This window comes from Homo sapiens, chromosome 1 (genome assembly GCF_000001405.40).
Source record: "Homo sapiens chromosome 1, GRCh38.p14 Primary Assembly".
Classification (NCBI taxonomy): domain Eukaryota; kingdom Metazoa; phylum Chordata; class Mammalia; order Primates; family Hominidae; genus Homo; species Homo sapiens.
The window spans coordinates 148,271,879-148,296,266 of NC_000001.11; the positions used below are offsets into that span (position 1 = coordinate 148,271,879).

The 24,388-nt window shown below is 44.1% G+C and overlaps 3 long non-coding RNA genes and 1 other non-coding gene across 9 annotated transcripts in view; 2 read left to right on the forward strand and 2 right to left on the reverse strand.

Annotated features, from left to right (window-relative positions):
• On the reverse strand, positions 1–9,345 carry LINC01731 (long intergenic non-protein coding RNA 1731). Of its 2 annotated transcripts, NR_183739.1 has the most exons (5): positions 9,160–9,345; positions 3,360–3,496; positions 2,977–3,099; positions 1,022–1,205; positions 1–157 (listed from the first exon to the last, which is right to left on the reverse strand). It is a non-coding gene; the product is annotated as a long intergenic non-protein coding RNA 1731 (long non-coding RNA). The 2 variants fall into 2 exon arrangements; NR_183738.1 differs by lacking the exon at positions 2,977–3,099.
• LINC02806 (long intergenic non-protein coding RNA 2806) lies at positions 7,390–19,983 on the forward strand. 2 transcript variants are annotated; one of them, NR_187238.1, is made up of 3 exons: positions 7,390–7,653; positions 15,812–16,037; positions 16,128–19,983. It is a non-coding gene; the product is annotated as a long intergenic non-protein coding RNA 2806 (long non-coding RNA). The 2 variants fall into 2 exon arrangements; NR_187239.1 differs by having other exon boundaries at positions 15,812–19,983.
• Positions 9,487–9,558, forward strand: TRH-GTG1-3 (tRNA-His (anticodon GTG) 1-3). Its single transcript has one exon. It is a non-coding gene; the product is annotated as a tRNA-His (tRNA).
• Positions 19,011–24,388, reverse strand: part of LOC105371225 (uncharacterized) — a 26,528-nt gene continuing 21,150 nt past the window's right edge. For 2 of the 4 annotated variants that reach the window (XR_007066561.1, XR_922066.2), the window contains 3 exons: positions 24,246–24,304; positions 23,872–24,035; positions 19,011–19,426 (listed from right to left, as the gene is read on the reverse strand). This is a non-coding gene — a long non-coding RNA (uncharacterized LOC105371225). Of the gene's footprint in view, positions 19,427–23,871; positions 24,305–24,388 lie in introns of all 4 variants that reach the window. The other 2 variants (XR_007066560.1, XR_922065.4) reach the window with 2 other exon arrangements.

Here is a 24,388-nt window from a genome sequence, read left to right on the forward strand (position 1 = left end):
TTGGGTGGTTTAACAACAGACTTTTATTTTCTCAATGTTCTGGAGGCCAAAAGTCAAAGATCGATGAGCTCACAGAGTTGGTTTCTGGGGAGGCCTCTCTTCCTGGCTTGCAGAAGGCCACTTTCTTGCTTTGTGCTCCCATAGCCTTTCCTCGTGCCTGTGTGGAGAAAGAGAGAGATTCTTTGATGCCCTTCCTCTTCTTATATGGACACCATTCCTACCAGATTAGGGCCCTGCTTGTATGGCCTCATTAACCTTAATTTCCTCCTTAAAGACTCTGTCTCTAAATGCAGTCAAGTTGGGGGTTAAACTTTCAACATATGAATTCAGGGGAAAATAATTCATTTTATAACACCAAGCAATAGGGACGATCCTACGATTCTTTACCTATTAAATCCTATGACGTTTGCCTGGTGGTGGGGCCAGGAAGAAGTTGTTAGGAAGGCTGCTATTATTGCTAATTCTATGATTAGGAAAGCATACTTGAGCTGAAGTGCCTGCCATATGGGAAAGAGTGCAGGTCAAACAGGTACGAAATAAAAATAGGGGAAAATGGTAGCAAACAAAGCAGTGCTTTTAAGTGAGTCATGCATCCAGGAAGGATTGAAATTGTACAATTTCATGGAAATCCTATTGTCTTTATCAGGAGAATGACTTTACAAGGTTTATAAACTAGGGGGAAAGGATGGTGTGGATTAAGGACCACACCTGATTGCTCAGCATAATGTGATTTCTTGACTAAACAGCTATAGGATGTGAAGGAAAGATCAGAAGTCAAAGAAAACTTAAAGATTTTTTGACTGAGCATATGGAAGGATGCAGTTTCCATCCACAGAGGTGAGAAAATAGCAGGTGTGGCAGGTTGTAGGAGGAAAAGCAGAGATCAGTTCAGGGCCCTAAAACTTTGCTTGAAAGAGTTTTCCATTTGCCCCGTCTCCATTTCTGCATCCCCTTGAGATTTCTGTGAGGCTGAATGCAGAGGTGCTTGGCCACTTCTCCCCCTGGGCACCAGTCATTTCACCTCCTGACAGCATCTTCCATGGCCCTGGCTCTGATGACCATCTCCCAACACAATGTCATCTTGCAAAGGTGATCTGAGCAGTAGCTGGAGCAAGGCCATCCACTCCTTGACTTGTGTGGCCTTGGTGGGCCCCAGGAGCACTTCACTGCTTCTCAGGGTAGTAGGTCTTAGGTATGGCATGCTTCTGAGGAAAACAGGGAGGAAACAGCCTGAGGGGTGGAAAGGGAGGGCTGTACCAGGCAGCCTAGGAAAGCTGAGCAGACCTAGGCTCTCAATGCAAAGAGCATTTACCATCTGAGAAGTTCTACTCATTTACTATTGTTAGCTTAGAATCTCATCTGTTAAAATGGTATAGAAATTTGTTTTCTTCCTGGTTATATGTACACCTACATAATAGCCTTGATTTTGCCTCTTGGCTCACAAGCCTGCAATACTTACTATCTCTGGCTCTTTACAGAAAATGTTTGCTGAACTCTACAGAAAACAATCCCCCATGCTTTATAGAAAAAGACACCCAGGAATCTCTTTTACTAATTTTCTTTTGTTGGACGTTTTTCTGGCCACCAATAAGGTAAATTCCCTTTCTTGGCTTGTAATGATTAGTCTCTGGTTGGTTGTCATTTGCAATGGCACAATACATACTGAGACCTCAAAGCAGAAAAATCATAGAAGAAAACCTAGGAAATATCATTCTCAACATCAGCCTTGGCAAAGAATTTATGGCCAAGTCCACAAAAGCAATTGTAGCAAAAACAAAAATTCACAAGTAAAACCTAATTCAGTGAAAGAGCTTCTGCACAGCAAAAGACCATCAACAGAGTCAACAGACCACCTATAGAATGGGAGAAGATATTCACAAATTGTCAATCCAACAAAGGTCTAATGTCCAAAATCTATAAGGCACTTAAAAAAATCAAAAAGAAAAAAAAACATTAAAAAGTGGGCAAAGAGACATGAACAGACACTTCATAAAAGAAGACATATAGGCAGCCAGCAAACACAGAAATAAATGCTCATCATCACTAATAATCAGAGAAATGCAAATCAAAGCTACAATAAGATACCATCTCACACCACTCAGAATGGCCACTATTAAAAAGTCAAAAACCAACAGATGCTGATAAGCCTGTGGAGAGAAAGCTTATAAACCCTTGGAGTGAATGTAAATTAGTTCAGTCACTGTGGAAAGCAGTTTGGAGATTTCTCAAAGAACCTACAACAGAGCTGCTATTCAATTGGTAATCTCATTTCTGGGTATATACCCAAAGGAATAGAAATCATTATGACAAAAAGACACATGCACTCCTATGATCACCACCAGCCTATTCACAATAGCGAAGACATGGAATCAAACTAGGTGCCCATCAATGGTGGATTAAATAAAGAAAATGTGGTACATACACAACATGGAATACTACATACCCATTAAAAAAAAAATCCTGTGAGGCCGGGCACGGTGGCTCATGCCTGTAATCCCAGGACTTTGGCAGGACAAGGCAGGTGGATCATGAGGTCAACAGATCGAGACCAACCTGGCTAACATGGTGAAACCCCGTTTCTACTAAAAATACAAAAATTAGCTGGGCGTGGCAGCGCCTGCCTGTAATCACAGCTACTCAGGAGGCTGAAACAGGAGAATGCCTTGAACCCTGGAGGCAGAGGTTACAATGAGCTGAGATCGCACACTCCACTCCACCCTGGCGATAGAGCTAGACTCCGTCTCAAAAAAAAAAAAAAAAAGAGTCCCGTGGACAGAAGATTTTCCTGGTGGAGTGTAAAACAAACTGGGGTGATAGAAATGAGTTCTGTGGACGTGCTGCTCTCCACTTGGGGCCCATCCTTCATTTTGCCGAGACCACCAAAGACTGGGCCTTCCTGGACAGGAGGGGTTCCTCCCCACACGCCTCCCCTTGGGCCCCAGTCCCCCACCACTGCGTGTGTCCGCCCAACCCTACAGCTTCTCTCCTTTCGGGAATGTCATTTCTTGAACCGCACTCCATCACAAGATGTGGTCCAATGGTCTATCCAAGGTCCAGGCAGAGAATCCGTGATCAGGTGACTCTTTGTATTGCAGGGATCTGACAGCAGAGACAATAAAAGTAGCACCAGTTTTAGGGCCAAATATGCAGAAACGCAGAGACCAACCAGACCCACTGGCTGCTTCATAGACTGTCTCTATAAAGTCCCTGCTTAGATAAATTCCGCTCCAGGGCCGGGTACACCCTGTAAGAGGCTGGTGGATTATGTGAGGTCAGGAGTTCAAGATCAGCCTAGCCAACATGGTGAAACCCCGTCTCTACTGAAAATAGGAAAATTAGCAGGAAATGGTGGCACAAACCTGTAATTAGAGCTACTTGGGAGGCTGAGGCAGGAGAATCGCTTGAGCCCAGAAGGTGGAAGTTGCAGTGAGCCAGGATTGCACATATTGCACTCCAGCCTGGGTGACAGACCGAGACTCTGTCTCAAACAAACAAACTAACAAAAATAAATAAATAAAAGAAAGATAAATTCAGCTAGGGAAAGAACCCGAGGACTATACAGTAGCTTCCATTTTTTTTTCTTTATTAGTGTGGCTGTGACCTCTTTGAGGGTCACAATTACAGTAAGTAAATGTAAAAACCACAGGGCACAAAGACAGGACCCTGCATTTGCCAGAAATGGAATCCAGGTCTCCCGGGTGGGAGGTGTAATTTCTACCACTGAACTGCCAGTGCCTCCTGACCCTGAGCTCTGCAGCCTTGGAAACAGTTAAGACACAGACTTGGGGAAAGGAGTCAAGATTTTCGCTGTGTTCTCTTTGATGTGACTAACAAAAAAGACACCCAGAGCAAAGGCTCGCAGTGGTGATTTGCATCAGGCAACACCACAAAGTTATGGCTTCACATTAAAAGAGCTGACTTGAAAAAGCCTTATTCTGAGTAGGCTCTGTGCAACTTGATAACAAACCTCTGTAGGAAAAATCAGAAATTCACCCAGTTTCTTGTCTCTGGTCCTGTATCCAGTGTGAGCCTGTGGAAAGTTCTTGCCTCGCTTGTTGATGTCTTCTCTTTGCCTCCCCATTGCTTGGTGCCTCTCAAACCCTTTCCTCCCAACCTTGACAGGAACATCAGTACTTTCTCCAAAAAAGGCTGTCAGAGAACAGGGACCCTGGTTTGGAAAGCTGAACTCTTGGGACTATGCCTGGGATACTCCAGGAGACCAGGGTGATAATTGAACTTCTCTCCTCCTACACCTCTTTTGAATTCCTGGAAAAGGCCTGGGATTGGATCTTGCTTTTAACTTCTTATGCCTTACAGAGACCTAAGCAAGAGCGAAGAAATGGACATTTCACTCCCAGATTTCTTCCCTTCACCTCACCCTGGTTGGCCACCCAAGGAGGCCAGTTCAGGGAAAAACAGTTCCATTTGATTCTAGGTAGATGCTAGGATATTACTCCTCTAGCTAACAGAAAGTGTTCTTTTGTTGTTTGCTTTTGTTGGATATTCATGTTTTCACTCTCATTCTTTTGTTTATAATGAGCATGGTACAGATTTGCACTGCTCTTTTTGTTGTTGTTGTTTGTTTTCTTTCCTTTTTACATTTTTTATTTCCAACTTTTCTTTTAAGTTCAGGGTACATGTGCAGGATGTGCAGGTTTGTCTTATAGGTAAACGTGTGCCATGGTGGTTTGCTGCACCGATCTTCCCATCACCCAGGTACTAAGCCCAGCATCCATTAGCTACTCTTCCTGATGCTCTCCCTCCTCCCAACCCCCACCCTCCAATAGGCTCCAGTGTGTGTTGTCCTTGCTCCCCAACCCCATGTATCCATGCATTCTCATATTCAGCTCCCATTTATAAGTGAAAACACACGGTGTTTGGTTTCCTGTTTCTGCGTTAGCTTGCTAAAGATAATGTGTACTGCTTTTGACCTGGCACCGTCGTTCACACCTGTAATCTCAGCAATTTGGGAGGCTGAGGCGTGTGGATCATGAGGTCAAGAGTTCGAGATCAGCCTGGCCAATATGGTGAAACCCCCATCTCTACTAAAAATACAAAAATTAGCTGAGCACAGTGGCGCGTGACTGTAGTCCCAGGTACTCGAGAGGCTGAGGCAGAAGAATCACTTGAACCAAGGAGGTGGAGGTTGCAGTGAGCTGAAATCATGCCACTGCACTCCAGCCTGGTAACAGAGCTAGACTGCGTCTCAAAAAAAAAAAATGTATATATATGTATATCTCCCTCCTATACAATATATACGTATATATATATATATATATATATATATAATATAATGTGCACTGCTTTGAATATTTAACCCTTTTCTGCCCATTAAACCATTAGAGCTGGCATTTCCTTTTCTATCCAATCTGAGAGACTTAAATCCATTATAATTCACAGCAGTTAGTGTTACATTGGAGATGACAGGCACAGTTAGTCTCATTCCCACCACCTCATTGTATGATTTCTGTGTTTTGGCTTTGTTTATAAAATCTCTTCCTGCCTTTCTTAACTAGACTGGTCTGTCTGGGTAAATTTTCTGTTTTTCTGTAGTGTTTTTGAAATTCCATGTCCCTGATTAGTTAATATATTTTCTTAGATCTCAGGTGCACAGGGAGAAGGTAATCATGTACCTTAGCTCAGGGCACATTATGGTGGCAGCTCTGAGCAAGGCACTTACTGTCTTTCCTTCTTTTCTCTGTTTATCCCACTCCCATTTCCCTGTCCACTTCCAGAAACACGTTCTGAGGAGTTTAGTATATGCTCTTTTATCTCACACTTTCTCTGCATATTTCAATAAGGGGATGTCTTTGGAAGACATACATTGTTCTTTGAGGATGGAGGATATTAAAACAACTTTAAAGTTTGAATTGGTTTCCAAAAACCCATTCCATCCTCTTTACTCCATTCTGTGTACTATCTTCTCAACTTTTCTATTCAAATAGAAAAGTTTGTGTATAAATTTGGGGAGGAAGAAAAGAGTCAAGCCAATGTAAAATGGGCAAAATACTTGAACGGTGTTTGTTTACCAAAGAGAATTTCTTAATGGCCAAATTGCATAAGAAAGGATTCTTGGCATTATTACTCATTCAGGAAACACAAATTTAAAATGCCATGATACTCCATAACACACCCATCAGAATGGGTAACATTTAAGAGACAGGGAAAGCCACTGGCTTATAAAAATGCAGAGCAACTGTAACTCTTGTTGCTGGCAAGAGAATACAATACTGTAAACAAACAGATGCCTGTAATCCCAGCAGTTTGGGAGGCCGAGGTGGGCTGATCCCTTGAGCTCAGGAGTTTCAGACTAGACTGGGCAAGATGAGGAAAACTCATCTCTACCAAAAAAATTCAAAGAATTAGCCAGGACTATAGGTGTGCCTGTAGTCCCAGCTACTCAGGAGGTTGCAGTGGGAGGATTGCTTGAGCCTGGGAGGCAGAGGTTGCAGTGAGCTAAGATTACACCACTGAAGTCCAGCTTGGGCTACAGGGTGAGACCCTGTCTCAAGGAAGGAAGGAAGGGAGGGAGGGATGGTGGGTCCAGGTGCGGTGATTTACCACTGTAATCCCAGCACTTTGGGAGTCTGAGTCCAGTGGATCACAAAGTCAGGAGATGAAGATGATCCTGGCTAACACAGTGAAACCCCCATCTCTACTCAAAATACAAAAAATGAGCTGGGCGGCATGGCACATGCCTGTAGTCCCAACTGCTTGGGAGGCTGAAGCAGGAGAATCACTGGAACCTGGGAGGCGGAGGTTGCAGTGAGCCGATATCATACCAAAACCACAATATCAGAGATGATAAATTCGCTGGATGGGATTAACAGCAGATTAGATGTTGCAGAAGAAATGATCAGGGAACATGGAATCATGAATAATTGAAAATATGCAAAATGAAACTCACAGACAAAAGAGATTTTTTTTAATGAAAAGATTATCAGTGAACTGTAGGGCAGACTTAAGAGGTCTAATTTTTGAGTAATGGGAGTCCCTGAGAAGGAGCAGGGAGGAAAGGAAACATTTATTTTCTTTCTTTGTTATTTTTCTTAGGAATGGGGTCTCAGTATGTTGCCCAGGCTGGTCTTGAATTTCAGGCCTCACTCAACACCTCCCGACTTGGCCTCCCAAAGGTGTGAGCCACTGTGCCCAGCCAATTTCTGAAGAAAAATAGCTGGAAAGTTCCCAATCATAACAAAAATTATAAATCCAGTGACCCAAGGAGCTGAGGAAACCAAAGCGCAAGAAACATGAATAAAACCACTCCTAGATACATCATAATAACATTGCTCAAATCTGGCCAGAAGAAAAAGACATTGTACATACACAGGAGCAAAAATGAGGATTGCATCAGCTTCCTTTCTGCTCTTGCCGGCCTCTACCAGGAGCAGCAATGCACACGAGCAGACAGAGAAGCAACATCTTTAAGGTACTGAGGGCAGGAGAAGTTAATGTAGAATACTATGCCAGAAAAAATAAATTCCCAAAAGTGGAAGTGAAATAAGGACATTTAGAGATGTACAAAAGCTGACCGAATTCACTACCAGTCAACCCACACTACAAGAAACATCAAATGAGTCCTCCAAGCAGAAGGAATCCAATACCAGATGAAAATCCAGATCTCCACGAGGAAATGAAGAACACCAGAAATGGGTAACTATACTAGGTATTTTTTTATTTTGTAAATTTCTTTTGTAAAAATTTGACCATTTAAACAAAAGCAATAACAATGGGTTGTGGTGTTTATAACATGCGTAAAAGCAAAGTGCATGTCAGCTATAGCGTCAAGGCCAGAAGGTGAGATATAATATCACTTGAAAGTTGACTGTGATAAGTTAAAAAGGTTTGCTATAAGCCCTAAGGGAATTACTAAAATAACAAAAGAAAGAGTTATAGCTAATAAGCCAACAGAAGAGAGAGAATAGAATGATATAAAAACTTTATGAACAGTATGATAGAGTAATTGTTCTTCCTATAGTAATTGCACCTCTAGCCTAAAGAAATATTTAGACCAGTGGCTGAAAATGCCCGTACAAGAATGACTAGAGCATTATATGTAATTATAAAAAAATCACAGAACCAATTTAACCTCAAAAGCATATGGAAAGGGCTAAATGAATGACAGTTAAAGAGAGAGAGAGAGAGAGAGAGGGAGAGGGAGAGAGAGAGAGAGAGAGAGAGAGAGAGAGAGAGAGAGAGAGAGAGAGAGAGAGAGAGAGAGAGAGAGAGAGCGGCGCGGTGGCTCACTCCTGTAATCCAGCACTTTGGGAGGCTGAGGCGGGCGGGTCACAAGGTCAGGAGATTGAGACCACCCTGGCCAACATGGTGAAACCCCGTCTCTACTAAAAATACAAAAATTAGCTGGGTGTGGTGGCGCGTGCCTATAATCCCAGCTACTCAGGGGGCTGAGGCAGGAGAATTGCTTGAACCAGAGAGTCGGAGGTTGCAGTGAGGCGAGATATCTTGCCACTGCACTCCAGCCTGGCCACAGAGCGAGACTCCATCTCAAAAAAAAAAAAAAAAAAAAGAGAGAGAGAGGGTTCCCAGAATCCTAGCGGACCTTGATTTACGTCCTCACGTCCTGCGCGACAGACGGAGGAGAGGAGGGTAAAGTTAGTCTCCCTCTGCCTTTCCATGATACCATGTGCTGGATAGAAGAAAGTTGCCAGCGGTTTAAGCATTTTTAAAATGCAAGAAATGCTCCATAGAACAGGCTCGAACCACCCACCTTCGGGCTTGGAAACAAGCACACCACCCAACTGAGACACACAGACAGACGACTCTCACTCTGGTATCACCATGCAGAGCAAGAGCCCATCCAACGTTAGGAGGAGCCACCGCCTTTTTTAGAACAACTGTGCAGGCTCTAAAGCCTCGGAAAACCTGAGAGGCGCATCTTGCTGGCTACGGTTGAAACCCGTGCATTGGGTGATTCCGAAGCTGGAAGGGCAGCGGAATGGCCTTCGCCCCGTCCTGACCCTCGCAGGCGTCAGACCCAGCATCCCAGGAAACGCCCGGGTCCGCGACTCCCTGGGCCTGAGCCGCGTGGGTCCCAGGGGAAGCAAGCAGAACGCCCCGTGGGCTCTAGTGATGGCTCTTCCCCTTCTTGGCTCCGCCTTCACCCGATTCTCTACTGCTGCTTGCGCTCCCCTCGCTCACCTCGGCCTCGGTCGGTGGGGCGGGAGAGAGGAGGGGTGAAAAGCAGAAATACGGAGAGGCCCCACAGAAGCAGAGGAGGTGCGGACCAGGACAGAGAGACCTCCCGAGAGAGGCTGGTGCAGGGAGGCCCAGGCTGGAGTGGAGGAGATGAGAATTGTTCTCATCACGTATGAAGATTGGGAGGAAGGGAGGGAAAAGCAGAGCGGGCATGAAAGAAAAGCGCGAGTCCCCTGTGGCTGTCTGGGAACGAATCCGCCTAATAATCGAAATCCATTGACGTCAAAAGGGCTAGAGCAAGCTCCGCCATCGCGGTTTAGCCTGTGGCTCGCCGTGATCGTATAGTGGTTAGTACTCTGCGTTGTGGCCGCAGCAACCTCGGTTCGAATCCGAGTCACGGCAATGTCGTTAGTCTAGGCTGTCAGCTCTTCCCTTTTGCTCCCGCAACCAGGCGCGTCAGGGGAAGGAAAAGAGACCTCACACCTTACTAACTTGGCGAGGAATCCAAGGGAAACCCTGGACGTGCTCCCTCCTGTTTCTGAGCCTCACGCAGCAAATAACCCAGTCGGCCCTGTTGGTGGCTTACACGAAGGCAATGGTGTGCTCAGAACCGTTCTTCCGGTCACTGGGGGCACGTCGGGGTAAGGAAAAGAGACCTCACAGCTCACTAACCTGGGGAGGAGTCCAAGGGAAACTCTGGACGTGCACCGTCCTGTCTCTGAGCCTCACAGAGCAAATAACCCAGTCAGCCCTGTTGGTGGTGGCTTACACGAAGGCAATGGTGTGCTCAGAACCTGTTTTCCAGTCACTGGGGCTGTTACACACGAAACGACAAGAAGCTTTTAATGACTTTAAACTCCAAACTCTTTGTTGTGGCCTACAATGGCTTGTCTCTGTGCCCGTCACCAAGTTTGTATGCCAACAGCAAAGTGTGAGGAAAGGCAATCTGGTGCCGGGGGTCTTTCCACCTCCACTCTGCCACGTAGGAATGGGCCTTGGGCCTGGAGCACTTCCTTCCTGAGAGATAAGGAGTCATCACAGCCTGTGCTGGACTCACCTCCTTGTGTGGGAGTATCTTTCCCCCGATCAGACTTGGTGTGTACCCCTTTGTTCCACTTAAGCATGTGCATCAACTGGCACCTGGCCAGCTGCTGTATCTGCCCCCCACTGAGGGGAGGAAGCGGGGGTCCTTTCTTCTGCTTCTCAAGAGGCTGTGTGTGCAGGCCAAATGGAGGGACCTGCTGGCCATGGGGGACCAACGCCCAAGACTGAAGCGGAGCCCACACCCCGCTCTGTCTCCTCTCTGTATGAATAATGTGTTGTTCTCCCGTCCAGTCTCTGACTGCCTTGTATTTCCTTGGCGACTCTGATACCAAGAGGCTAGGGCCAGAAGTGTTCAGACTCCTGCTGATAGGAAACCGATGCCACTTGCTGGACAAGATGAACGAAAATTCTTCTTGTATAGGTCTTTTTGTGGACACGTGCATTCATTTCCCTTGAGGAATACCAAGTACTGGAATTGTTGGATCATAGGGTAGGTGTAATATTAACTTTATTAGAAACGGCCAAATGGTTTCTTCCAGAATGCTTTCTCACCAGCAAGGAGAGTTCCACTGGCTGGACATCCTTGACAGCGCGTGGTGTTTACTGTTTTTTAAATACACCTGTTCTGGTGGATGTAAAACGGTACCACATCGTGGCTTCAATTTGTGTTTCCTTTAATGAGTAATGCTGTTGAGCATATTTTCTAATGCCTTTTCACCGTTTAGCAATCCTTCTTTGAGAAGACAGGCTTTGAAGCATTTTCCCTAATTCAATTGGCTTTGCTTTTTATTACTGATTTGTAAAAAGTACTCTCTATATTCAAAATTTGAGCCTTTTTTTTTCAGGTAAACACAGTGCAATTATCTTCTCCCAGTCTGTGGCTCACCTTCTCACTTTCTCATGGTGATTCTTGATGAGCAGAAGTTGATAACTTTGGTGAAATTCTACTTTGCTTTATTTTTTCCTGTTATCTCTTAAGGCAGAAATGTATTCTGCTACATTCTCTTCCAATAACTTTAGGGTTTCGTTTTAATTTCTAAATCTATGGCATATCAAATTCATCTCCTGACCACAGCAAACTTAGCATCTGCTAATGTCCTGATCACCAGAAAACTTCTGTATACTGTAAATAGACTGGCAAGAGTTACTTCTCTGCTGTTTCACAGCTATGGGCCCTGTGCCTCCCTCCATTTCTTCCCTACTCCTCTCTCCCTCTGTCTCCTTCTCTGTCCTTCTGTCTCTCCTCTGATGCAGCTGAGAATCCCAGAGACATCTGAAACAGAGAAGTGGACAGGTCCAGTCTAATCTATGTCCAAGAACCCAGGTTCTGTATTAGAAATCTATGTCAGCCCTTGCCTGACCTTGGTTAACTATCTTAAATTTTATGTGCCTCAACATTTTTCTGTGGAAGGTTGGGCCTCTTTGGGAACTCTGCCTTACACTGCTGTTGTCAGACGTGCCTGGATTTAGTGACTACTCAATCAATAACGTAATCACTAGAATTATAAAAATCATTATCATTGTCCTCTGCCTTATTTGTGAACAATCACTCTCCAGATTGTTTTCACTTTACCTTTGCTTGTAGAACTTCACGCAGATGGAATCACGTTGCATCTACTCTGTTCTACATGCTTCTTTCTCTCTGCGTAATGTCTCTGGCTCTATCCATTGCTGAGTGTAGCAGAAGTTCATTCCTCTTTCATTGCTGAGTAGTATTCCATTGCAAAGAGACAGCACAGTTTGTTTGCCATTCTCGCCCCACCTCCACCCCGATAATGAGCGTCTGGGTATTGGCTATTCTGAATAAACCGGTATTGGGTATTCTGAATAAGCCGGCTTTGAACTTTCTTCCCACAAGAGATTTTGAGGGCACCTGTTTTCGTGTCTCTTGGGGAAAACCTAGTTGCCTAATTGCTGGTACCAAAGAGTGAGATATGTGCAAGATCATAAAAACTCACAAAACTTGGCCCAAAGTAGTTGTGTCATTTTACATTTCCAGCAATGACGTGTGAGAGTTGTGGTTGTTCTTCATCTTCTCCAAGATTGGGTGTTTCCTCTCCTTATAAATTTAGCCATGCTACTGGGAGTTATAGTGGTGTCTCAATGTGGTTTTGATTTCCATTTTCCTGATAGCTGAACATATTGTATATGCTTTGTTGACCATGTGTGTACCTTTTATTCTTATGTATCTGTTCAAGTCTTTTACCCATCTAGCATACTTGGGTTGATTGGTTTTGTTGTTGTTGTTGTTGTTGTTGTTGTTGTTGTTGTCCTTGTTGTTTTAATTACCAGGTAAGAAGATCTCAGCATACTTTATAGTTACAGGGTTTGGGGGTCAGATAAGTTTCGTGACTATTTTCTCCCTGTCTGAGGCTGTCTCATTTCTTCACTTTCTTTGTTGCCTCTTTTGATGAGAAGATATGGCTAATATTTGATGAAGTCTAATGTATCAAGCCTTTCCTTTATACATTTTTTTCTGTGCCCTATTTAATAAATCTCTGTCTACCAACAAGTCACAAAGTATCCTCGAAATGCTTTATATCTTTGGCTTTTATATTTTGGTCTATAATGTGTCTCAAGTTACTTTCAAGTGTAGTGTGAGGGAGAAATAACCTTGTTCGTCTACCCCTTCTCCTTTATGAAAGGCAATTAATTGAAACTATTTCCTTTGCCCCATTAAACTGCTTTTATTGAAAACCTATGGCCAGTCATGGTGGCTCATGACTGTAATCCCAGCACTATGAGAGACTGAGGCCTGTGGATCACTTGAGCCCAGGAGTTGGAGACCAGTCTGGGCAACATGGAGAAACCTCATGTCTACTAATATGTGCCTGTAGTATGAGCTACCTGGGAGGCTGAGGCACGGGGATCGCTTCAGCCTGGGAAGCAGAGATTGCAGTGAGCCGAGATCGCGCCACTGCACTCTAGCCTGGATGACAGAGTAAGACCCTGTCTCAGAAAACAAAAAGAAATTAACAAACAAACAAAAAACCTATGAACCTTATAGCTGTGGGTCAGTTTCAGGTCTCCAAAGTCAGTCTGTTGATGTATTTGTGTCTCCCAATGCCACTTGCACACTGCCTTGATTATAACAGCTTAGAGTGAGTCTGAAACTCAGGTTGTGCAAGTCCTCTGGTTTTCTTCTTTTTCACACAGCATAATAAGCTTTGAAATAGGTCATAACTCATGTAACCATCACATAGATCAAGATATGCTGTCACTTCATACCTCTCATTTCAGTGTGGGATACAAGTACTTGCACATCTATGCTGATTGCCCCCTTGGGGCCAAGGATCATTGTTACGGGAAGTCAGGGACCCCAAGTGGAGGGACCGGCTGCAGCCAAGGCAGAGGAACATAAATTGTAAAGATTTCACCTTAATATGGACATTTACCAGTTCTCAAATAATACTTTTATAATTTCTTTTGCCTCTCTTTACTTTAATCTCTTAATCCTGTTATCTTCATAAACTGAGGATATACCTCACCTCAGGACCACTGTGATAATTGTGTTAACTGTACAAATTGATTGTAAAACACGTGTTTGAACAACATGAAATCAGTGCACCTTGAAAAAGAACAGAATAATAGCGATTTTTGTGAAACAAGGGAAGACAACCATAATTTCTGACTGCCTGTGGGGTCGGGCAAAAAGAGTCATATTTTTCTTCTTGCAGAGGGCCTATAAACGAACATGCAAGTAGTCAACATATCACTAAATTCTTTTCCTAGCAAGGAATATTAATATTAATACTCTGGGAAGAGAATGCATCTCTGGGGGGAAGTCTATGAACGGCCACTCTGGGAATGTCTGTCTTGTGCAGTTGAGATAAGGACTGAGATAAGCCCTGGTCTCCTGCAGAACCCTCAGGCTTACTAGGGTTGGGAAAACTCAGCCCTGGTAAATTTGTGGTCAGACCAGTTCTCTGCTCTCAACCCTGTTTTCTGTTGTTTAAGATGTTAATCAAGACAATACATGCACCACTGAACACAGACCCTTATCAGTGGTTCTGCCTTTGCCGTTTGCCTTGTGATCTTTGTTGGACCCTTATCAGTGGTTCTGCTTTTGCCCTTTTCCCTGTTCCCTCAGAAGCATGTGATCTTTGTTAGACCCTTATCAGTGGTTCTGCTTTTTGCTATTTGAAGCATGTGATCTTTGTACCTACTCTCTGTTCTTACACAACCTCTCCTTTTGAAACCCTTAATGAAAACTTGCTGGTCGGAGACTCAGGTGGGCATCACAGTCCTACTAATATGTGATGTCACCCCTGGCACCCCACCTGTAAAATTCCTCCCTTTGTACTGTCTGTCTTTATTTTTCAGCCGGCCGACACTTACGGAAAATAGAAAGAACCTACGTTGAAATATTGGGGGCGGGTTCTCCCAATAGATCCTCTCTTCTACCCTCTGGAGAGAATAAATCTCCAGTTGTCTGCAGGGAGGATGAACACACAAAAAGTCCACAACACTCAGCACAGAGTCCAGATTTTGGTGGTGGGGTTGGTGGGGAGGAAGCTCACATTTCAGGCCTTTTGAAATCTTAGGAAAATTTTTCTTTATTTCTAACTGTGAAATGTACAAAGCTTTGGATCATTTATAATTTCTTCTTCTTCTCGAAAGATCACAGGAGACCTAATATTTGTGTCTCCCCAAAATGCCTTGGTTGAAACCCTAACCTTCCTCTGTCGACTCCTGGAAAGTGTTAAAATCAGGAGGAGGGGCCTTTGGGAGGTAATTAGATCCAGAGGGTGGAGTCCTCCTGAGTGGGATTAGTGCCCCTATAAAAGGGACACTAGAGAGCTCTCTCAGCCTCTTTCAGCCACCTGCAGATACAGTGGGAAAATGGCAGTCTATAACCAGGAAGAGGTTCCTCACCATAACCCTACCATGCTGGCACCTTGACCTTAGACTTCCAAACTCCAGAACTGTGAGAAATGTCTGTTGTGGATGAGCCACCTAGTTTATGTTACATTATTATAGAAGCTCCAACTAAGACAGAGATGGAGTCCCATGGAGGGTGTCTAATTTTTGATGCTGGTCATTGCGTTCTTCAACTGGGATGTTGCAAATTAGAAACTGAGGGAGAGCTGACCTTTCCTGCATATGAAAGAAGAGAGTGGAGGGGCAGAGATACAGAATGGGGAAGAACAAGTTGGAACCAGAAAACTGATTTCAGGGTCTGGCACTTGAATGTCTGATTTTGGAGAAAGAGAAGACACTGGTAGGTGTATCCAGAGAAGAAGACCTTCAGTGGAAATGGCAGATATTTAAAAGCCATTCGATTACATCTTTCACTTGTTTGTATGTAGTCCCTCTTCTCTCATCTTTGTAAGTGTGGCACAGGTGAACTGGATGTGTTTGTCCAATGTGTTTTTGGAATGCATGTGTAAATAAAAATGACTGTGTCATATTTCAGATATTCATCCCGGAACCTCCTAGAGTTCCCTTAGGTTCCATCAACTGTACATTGAAAGTACAACAGGCGGATCGTGGGGATTAATTTTCATTGGACATTTCTAGGAAGAGGGAGGAGGAGGAGGGGGAATGTGACAGTCTCAGCAGCAGTTACTATACTCTTACCGAAGTGGTTTTCCTATGTGCTTCTCAACAGATCGGCCCTTTCTTCAAATAAGAGCAGTTGGAATAACAAAGCTGTTCAGTTGTACCCTTGGAATCCACTGAAATCCTGGGTAGGGAAGCTCCAGTACCACCAACTGGAAAGACTGGGAATGCCTAATAGCTGGTACTGGCCATTGTCGTAGGCTTTGTCCACTCTGACAAACTGAAGATGGGGACTCGACTCACCTTCGCCAGCCACAGGAGGACCTCCAGACGAGGTTAGGTCGACTTCCCGATAACTTTAGATCCTGAAACCTCACGGGATTTTTCTTCTCTTCCCTTTGATCTCTCTTCCGCTTGCTCAACAGGACAGGACTCGCTGCCTTTCTTTCCCGTCAGAAAGGGATCCCTTGCGGACAGGACCTAAGTGAGTAGCTGGTTTCCCCTACTTGTCCTTCCGGGCCTGGGTGTCTCGGGGGCTCAGGCTGACGGGAGACCTAACTACCGGCGAGTGAGACCAGCAGGAGCCTGGAGGGGCGCGCACCAGGGTGGAGGTTTGGTGCCGGGGGTTGAGAACAACAGTCAAACCCTCTTCTTCCCCTGGCACCACGCACCTGCCCCCCGGGATGCCGAACGAAGTGGTCCCTAAAGCTCCTCTGCAGGCCCAACCGAAACAGGCCTGAAGCTCCAGGATGGGCGAGAGGATCCTCTTTGAGCGAAACCAGCCTTCTGCCTGGCTGGCCCTGGTCAACACCCTGGGAAGAGGCCGATTTGGCGGACAGAACGGAAGAAAAGACCTAAAGGTAGAATCTCATGATGTCGAGATGTTAAAACACTCAAATTTTAAGGTTCGACTGTGAGGGGGAGATAGGGGGTCTCGAGCTGGATCGACCCCTGAGCCTTCATCTGCAGAGTCCTGTGCACCAGCTCAGAGGACAGGACTATGTGCACCAATGGTTCTCATCAGGCGGCAACTTCACCCTCACATGCCTCCCCCATCCCTGCTGGTACACAAGACCACGACTAGGGGAAGCCCGGAGGGAGAATGTTAACCCCTGGCATCTATCTAGTCAGCAGAGGTGAGGGATGCTGCTAAACACCTTACAATCCACCGGAGGACACCCGCCCCCACCGACCCCGAAGTAGCCATTCCCTGGAGGTGGGGAAACTCGCCTGTAGATCAATGCCCACGCACTTGGCGGACAGGAAATCACGAATTGGCCACTAACTGGATCTTGGATCTGAGGAAAAAATTCCAGCGTCAGAGGGAACTCTCGGAGATTTGCCCAGAGCATAAGGAACGTACTCCTTCCCTCAGTGATGGATCCTCACATCTGGGGGAAATCATAGACAATTTCTTTTGTAGGGCGAACTCTGCTATACAGTTTATGATGTCAGAGTGAATACTTTCTTTGAGTTGCAGTCAGAAACTGTAGATTTTTAAAAATTTAAAATTCATTATTCTCTGTCAGTATTCCAAAGTGTATACAGAAAGCTATTGCACTGTTCAGGAGATGGCGCTTAACATTTTGGAAATTCAAGGTGATGAATGTCCAGATAAGACTATCTCTCCTGGTACAAAGTTTGACAATGCTGAACACTTTTAAAGGTTCTTTTTGATATACAAAGTGCACCAATGAGTGCTTTTTAATTCTTACAATAATTCTGGGTGAGGTAGGTATTTTTCCAATTCCCATTTTATGCTTCGGTAGCCCTTTGTATTTATACTTCAAAACACTTGGCTCTCTTGTAATTATTTAAGAAATTAGTTGTGATTATTTGTTTAATGTGCAGGAGTTACAAAAGGCAAGCTTTAGAACAAGACAGACCTGGTTATGATTCCTGGCTCTGAAAGCTGTACACCCTGTGACCCTAGACAGGTGTTTTAATGCCTCGCTGCCTCTGTTTCTTGCTCTGTAAAATGTGAACAATAACAGTATTGGCCTCATGCTTTTTTTGGGTTTTAAAAGTAATAATGTGGACAAAGATCAGTGGAGTGCCTGGCATGCTGAACCCATTCCATGACTGTTAGATATAGTTGTTATGATTTGTATCAATCCATTTTCACACTGCTATAAGGAACTACCTGAGACTGGGTAATCTATGAAGAAAAGAGGTTTAATTGACTCACAGTTCTGCATGGCTGGGAGTCCTCAGGAACTTACAATCATGGCAGAAGGGGAAGCAAGACATTTCTTATATGGCAGCAGGACAGAAAGAGAGAGAGTGAAGGGGGAAGTGCCACACACTTCCAAACAACCATATCTTGTGGTTAATTAAAAAGTACTCATTGGTGTGCCTTGTATAGAAAAAAATATACACTCACTATCATGAGAACAGCAAGGAGGGAGTCTGCCCCCAAGATTCAATCACCTCCCAGTAGACCCCTCCCCTGACATGTGGGGATTACAATTCAAGATGAGATTTGGGTGGGGAAACAGAGTCAAACCATATCGTGATTGTTCTATAATAAAGAGATGCCCACATGTGTTTCATCAGGGACAGTGCTCATTAACCAGTTGTCCTGCCGTAATTATTAATAGTATCCCCTTTGCTTTCAAAAGTGTCCTAGTTTACAAAAAGTATAGAAATGGAGGACAGAATAGTGGTTGCCCAAGATTGGAAAAGGGTAAGGGTAAAGGGTGCAGAGGTGGATGTGGTTATAAAAGGCAACATGGGAGATCCTCGTAGTGAAGGAACTGTTTAGTATCTCCACTGTGGTGGTAGATACCCGAACCTAAACATGTGAAAAATTGCATGAAACTAAACACACACACAAACAAGTACAAGTTAAGTTAGGAAAATCCAAATAAGATTTCTACATTGTATCAATAGGTATATCTTGATTATGATATTGCAAGATGGTACTATTCAAGGAAACTGGGTAGAGGCTACATGAGACTCCCCTGTATTATTTCCTATAACTCCATGTGAATCTACAAGGATCTCAGGATTAAGGAAGATATCCTAGTTTGGAAGATAAAAAATATATCCCAGTAGTAATATCCACTGTCCCACCAGGGCCTGACTACCTTCTATAAAAAGAAGTGCCTTTGTTCCCCTCAAGTTCCTTTATTTGGTTTTATTCTTCTTCACAGTACCTACCTCCACTTGGCAGATTACATTTATTTTTTCATCTTTCAACAGCTATTTACTGAATGCCTACTAGATGCCAGGCTTGAGATCTAGCAATGAACAAGATCTCTGTGAAACTTACATTCCAGGAGGAGAAATAAATAATAAACCAAAAATATAATCAGTAAATTATTTAATATGCTGGGAAACAATATGTGTAATGGAAGAAATATGTAAAGTGATGGATTAGGGTTCTCCAGAGAAACAGAACCAACAATTGACTCATGTGATTATGGAGGCTGAGAAGTCTCAAGATCACAGTTGGCAAGCTTGAGACACAGGAGAGCCCATGGTGTGTTTCTGATTTGAGTCCAAAGGCCTGAGAACCAGGAGAGATGATGGTGTGATTACAGTTCAAAAGCTGGCAGGCTTGAGGCCCAGGAAGAGCCAGTGTTGCAGTTCAATTCCAAAGGCAGGAAAAGGCTGATATCTCAGCTGAAGCAATCAGGCAGAAGGAGCTCTCTCTTACTCATGGGCAGGTCAGACTTTTGGTTCTATTCAGGCCTTTAAGTGATTGGATGAGGATCATCTACTGGGGAAAGAAATAAGCTTTATTCAGTGTACTGATTCAAATGTTAATCTCATCCAAAACCATGCTCACAGACACACCCAGCATAATGTTTGACCAAGTATCTGGGCACCTTGTGGTTCAGTCAAATTAACACATATTAACTACCTTAGCAAGATGAAAAGCAGTGAATGCAGGATGGTGGTTGAAATTTTAAATACGTTGGTTATATAGTCTCATTGAAAAAGGAACATTTGAGTGAAGACTTGAAGGGGTGGTGGAATAAACCATTTATTTGCTTATTGCCTGTCTCCCTCTATCAGAATGAAAGCTTCATGAAGCGAGAGACTTAATTTTTATCTGTTATATCCCTAGTGCCTGGTGCAGGGTAAGTACTCAAAAATATTTGTTGAGTGAATAAGTAATGATTGAGGATGGGGACTGGTTTGTATCTGGTTATATCTCTTGTCCTTAGCACAGTACCTGGCACATCCTAAGCCATCCAAAAGAGTTGGTTATATGATTGTCTTTGAATTCTATGACTGTTTATAATATACAGTAAACTTCACTGAAGACACTGACTCACTTGTTTTGTTTGATATTGTGGCCCCAGCACTGCAGCACTTAGAACAGTGCCTAGAAAATACATAATAGTTAGTGAAAAATTGTTATTGACCAAATGGGCACAGATAAGGAGACTGAGGCTCAGAAATGTTAAATGAGTTGAAAATAGTCTCACAGCCAGGAAGCAACAAAGCATGGGGCCTAACTTTGTCTTTTTAATTCTCAAATTACAATATTTCATCTATATCAAACTGCTTTAAAAATTGTCCTGGGGTCTCTCGTTTGGCCATGGCCTTTCTTTCACCTACACCATCTCTCTTCCTTGTCCACTCCAGGCTGTGTTGTGTGGTCATGTCTCCCTGAGTGACAAGCAGGCTGGTTATGTGGAGTTGTCAGCACACAAGCCTCCCAGAGGATGGCCTTCTCCTCCAGGTGCCACAGTGTCAGGGGACACTCTCTTCCATTAGCACAAGCAGAAGGTAATGCAACCTTTTGGTGGCCATCGACTTTGTCAGACAATAGTGCCGTTCAGTTTGAAAGACTCCACTGGGAAGTCGCAGACTTTTAAAACTAATTTGGTGTTTATTCAACTTTGCAATCACTTCTATGTACTATCTGTGTTTCACACACCATGAAACGGTGCTATACTGTGCAATTGAATTAGTTGTACAGTGACTCAAAGGCATTAAACAATGACTTTGATATTTTAAGTACTGACTAGGAGGGATTTTTAATTCCTTCCTCATAATGAAAACAGCAAAAAAAATCCAGTTACACAACCCTGGAACACTTACTCTCTTTTCTCTTCTGGGTGGACCCCAGTGAGACAGAAAAAACCTCCGAGCACTTAATTTGCTTCATGGCAGGAGAAAAATTAAACAAGCATAGACGTGCAACCTTAATGACACCCAGCAACACTAGAATAACAGTTCCCAGCTTCTAAAACCTGATATTTAGTATAATGGGTAAATCTGGTGGGAGCTTTTCAGTGCTGCTGAGTTTGAAAAAACAGCTACTTTGTGAGGAGGGGTGGGGGTAGAGGCAGGGAGAGTGTCTTGCTTGTGCTCACTTGTTAGGAGGGTCTCAGTGCAGAAGCCAAGCCAGAGGGGTGCAGGCAAAATACAGCACTGGCAGGAGAGTCCCTGAAGGCTGTGACCCTTCTGCAGACAACAGCATCACTATGCTAGGCACAAATGTGTCAGTTCTGCCAGAAACAACATGGGACTTTTCATACAGTGCCTTTCTGGAGATGGTACTGACAGAAAGGAAGAAGAGAGGGGGAAAAACAATGCAACAAAAAACGAAAACCATAGCAAGTGAATTAGTACCATGAAACTATGAGCATTAACTGGTTATAGTTCAGGGCAAAGCACCTCAGTGATGATTCACATCTGACAATAAATACAGGAATAGCTGTTGAAAGCTAGTTTGATTTTCACAAAGAGGTTTAAACAAACTTTCGTTTGTTCATTAGTCTTAAGCAACACATTTATGGCAGGGGATGCATTAAACCTAACATATGTCTGTGACCAAGGTATTTGGTGGTTTTAAAGATGAAGACACAAAGCCGTGCATATAGTTTATGCGGAGCGGCCTTGAACTACCCGTAATGGAGTGAGATACAGTTATTATGTATTAATGCTGTGAATCTTCATCCAGAGAGAGAAAACAAACAGGCGAGAAGGAATGCAGCATCTTTGAAGATAAAGACTTAGAGGGCCCCATTCTGCAATTGGTATTGAGTTTGCATAAACTCATTTTGTTGTTGTTGTTGCTGCATAATTTTTAAAATGCAACTGGTTTAAATCTGTTCCCTGAGGTAATTTACGCTAAAGCAGCATTCTAACACCATAAATTCCCTGCTTATGGCAATCTCTGGTTGGGTGTCAGGTCGGTGTAAGTTACTGAGCAAATGGCTGCTTCAAAATTTTTAGGGTAATTGCCTCTATAACTCGTTTAGCATAGGCCTTGTCAGGAAATCTCTAATTGTAATTGATGCCTCTGCTTCCTTTTCTCCTCCTGCTTTTTAACCACATTGTTGTACTAAAAGCTTCACTCTCCAGTGCAGAAGAGCATGGGGCTTTTCATCTTCTGTAGCACTCGGATTTTGTTATTATTAAAGCCTTCCCTCATGAAAACGTGATGTCACCCCCGATGGGGTCCAGAAGGTGGTGGTTGGTTGGGTGTACCTCTGCCCCAGCCCAATCTCTACCCTTGCCTAGGAAACCTTCAGTACAGAGAAGGTAGATCTTGATGGGGTTGAGATAAAATGAAGAGCAAGTTACCACTACTCCAATTCTAAGTTTTGTATGAATGCTGGGTTGGCTGTTGATTTCTACCAGAATGGTGTGAGCAAAGTCAACAGCATATTTTTCTCTCTTCTCTCATCTCATGTGTATGGGCATGATGCCTTGGTAGGAAGGGTATCATTGGAATTGTATATTACAATATTCATGGCCAGGAGCTTCTGTTGATTTGTGTCTACATACGGGGATTTTTCATGAAATTGCATAAAGCATGTAAAGAATCAACTCCAAAATCCAATTTGTTAATTATCTTGCTTAAAATATACTTCAATTATATCACATTTGACATCGTATGTCATTGATAGTAGACGGAAATAACACTTAAAATCAATAAGTGTTTTTAATTTATTTTACTTATTATGCTTGTCATAATATTTTGACATGGAGTGCTGACATGTCAACGATGCTGTTATCAGGAGGTAAGGCAATGGCATTAAACTGTCTCACCATCTGTGCTACTGTTTCAGCATAAAGTGGGCCCATGGGGAAAATATAGCTAAAATCTCCAATGAAGTGTCTGCTTATGAAGTAAATACAGGTCATCACTGAATAAAGCAGCCTGAGCTCAAAACAAAACCTGAGGGAAAAAAATCCACACTCTAATCTATTATCTTTTCTCCCAAAGGATTCAACAATAAGAGCACTAAAAATATGCGAGTGCTGTCTGTGTGCCAGACTTGTGAAAAGTGTTCCACATATTTTATCTCATCTCCTCTAAGAGGTGAGGTACTTGCACATGGCAAAACCCAGCTCTGAATGAAAGTCTGTGTGATTCCATGCCTGGATCTATTCTCAGAAACCAAAGCCATCACTATTCTATATGGTTTGGATAGAAAATGGATTCTGACTTCTGGATCCTCTCCTGGCTATTACAATCCACATCGCAGGGGGGTGAGGCACCCCCCGCGATATGGGGAGTCATAGCAACCCCCTCTCCCCCCCTGGCTGTCACAATCCACATCGCAGGTGTGTGAGGCAACCCCTGCGATATGGGGAGTAATAGGAACCCCCTCCACCTGCCCCGGCTATCACGATCCACATCTCAGGGGGGTGAGGCACCCCCCGCAATAAGGGGAGTAATAGCAACGATCTCTCCACCCCTAGCTATTACGATCCACGGTGGACTCATAGCCTGTTTACGATATTGTGAGTATATATCAACTCCCCCTCTGGAAATTATGAACTATTTCACAGACCTGTGTACACTCATCTGTATTGGGAGTAATATCAACCTCTTTCTCCCTGAATATTGAGAACAGTATCACAGGAGTGTTTCTACTCCCTGCGATGTTGGGTGTCATATCCTCCTCTCCCACGTTGAAATTAGAAACAATATCACTGGGGGCGTGTACACCTTCTGTGATATTTAAAGTAATATCCTCTTCCCTCCAGGATCATGGGAATAATATCCCTGGGGGGTGTACACTTTCTGCGATATATGTAGTAACATCATCCCCTCCGCCTTGGAATATTATTAAGGACCATTTCACGCGGGGGTGTATAACTCTTGCGATATTGGGAATATTATTATCCTCTTTCCCCCCCTGCATATTTGGAAAAATTTGAGGGTTTTAACATCTCGACATCATGAGATTCTACCTTTAGGTCTTTTCTTCCGTTCTGTCCTCCAAATCGGCCTCTTCCGAGTGTGTTGACCAGGGCCAGCCAGGCAGAAGGCTGGTTTCGCTCAAAGAGGATCCTCTCGCCCATCCTGGAACTTCAGGCCTGTTTCGGTTGGACCTGCAGAGAAGCCTTAGGGGCCACTTCGTTCGGCATCCCAGGGGGCAGGTGCGCGGTACAGGGAAGAAGAGGGTTTGACTGTTGTTCTCAACCCCCGGCACCAAACCTCCACCCTGGTGCGCGCCCCTCCAGGCTCCTGCTGGTCTCAGTCGCCGGTAGTTAGGTCTCCTGTCAGCCTGAGCTCCCGAGACACCCAGCCCCGGAAGGACACGTAGGGGAAACCAGCTACTCACTTCGGTCTTGTCCGCAAGGGATCCCTTTCTGACGGGAAAGAAAGGCGGCGAGTCCGGTCCTGTTGAGTAAGCGGAAGAGAGATCAAGGGGAAGAGAAGAAAAATCCTGTGAGGTTTCAAGATCTAAAGTTACCATGAAGTCGA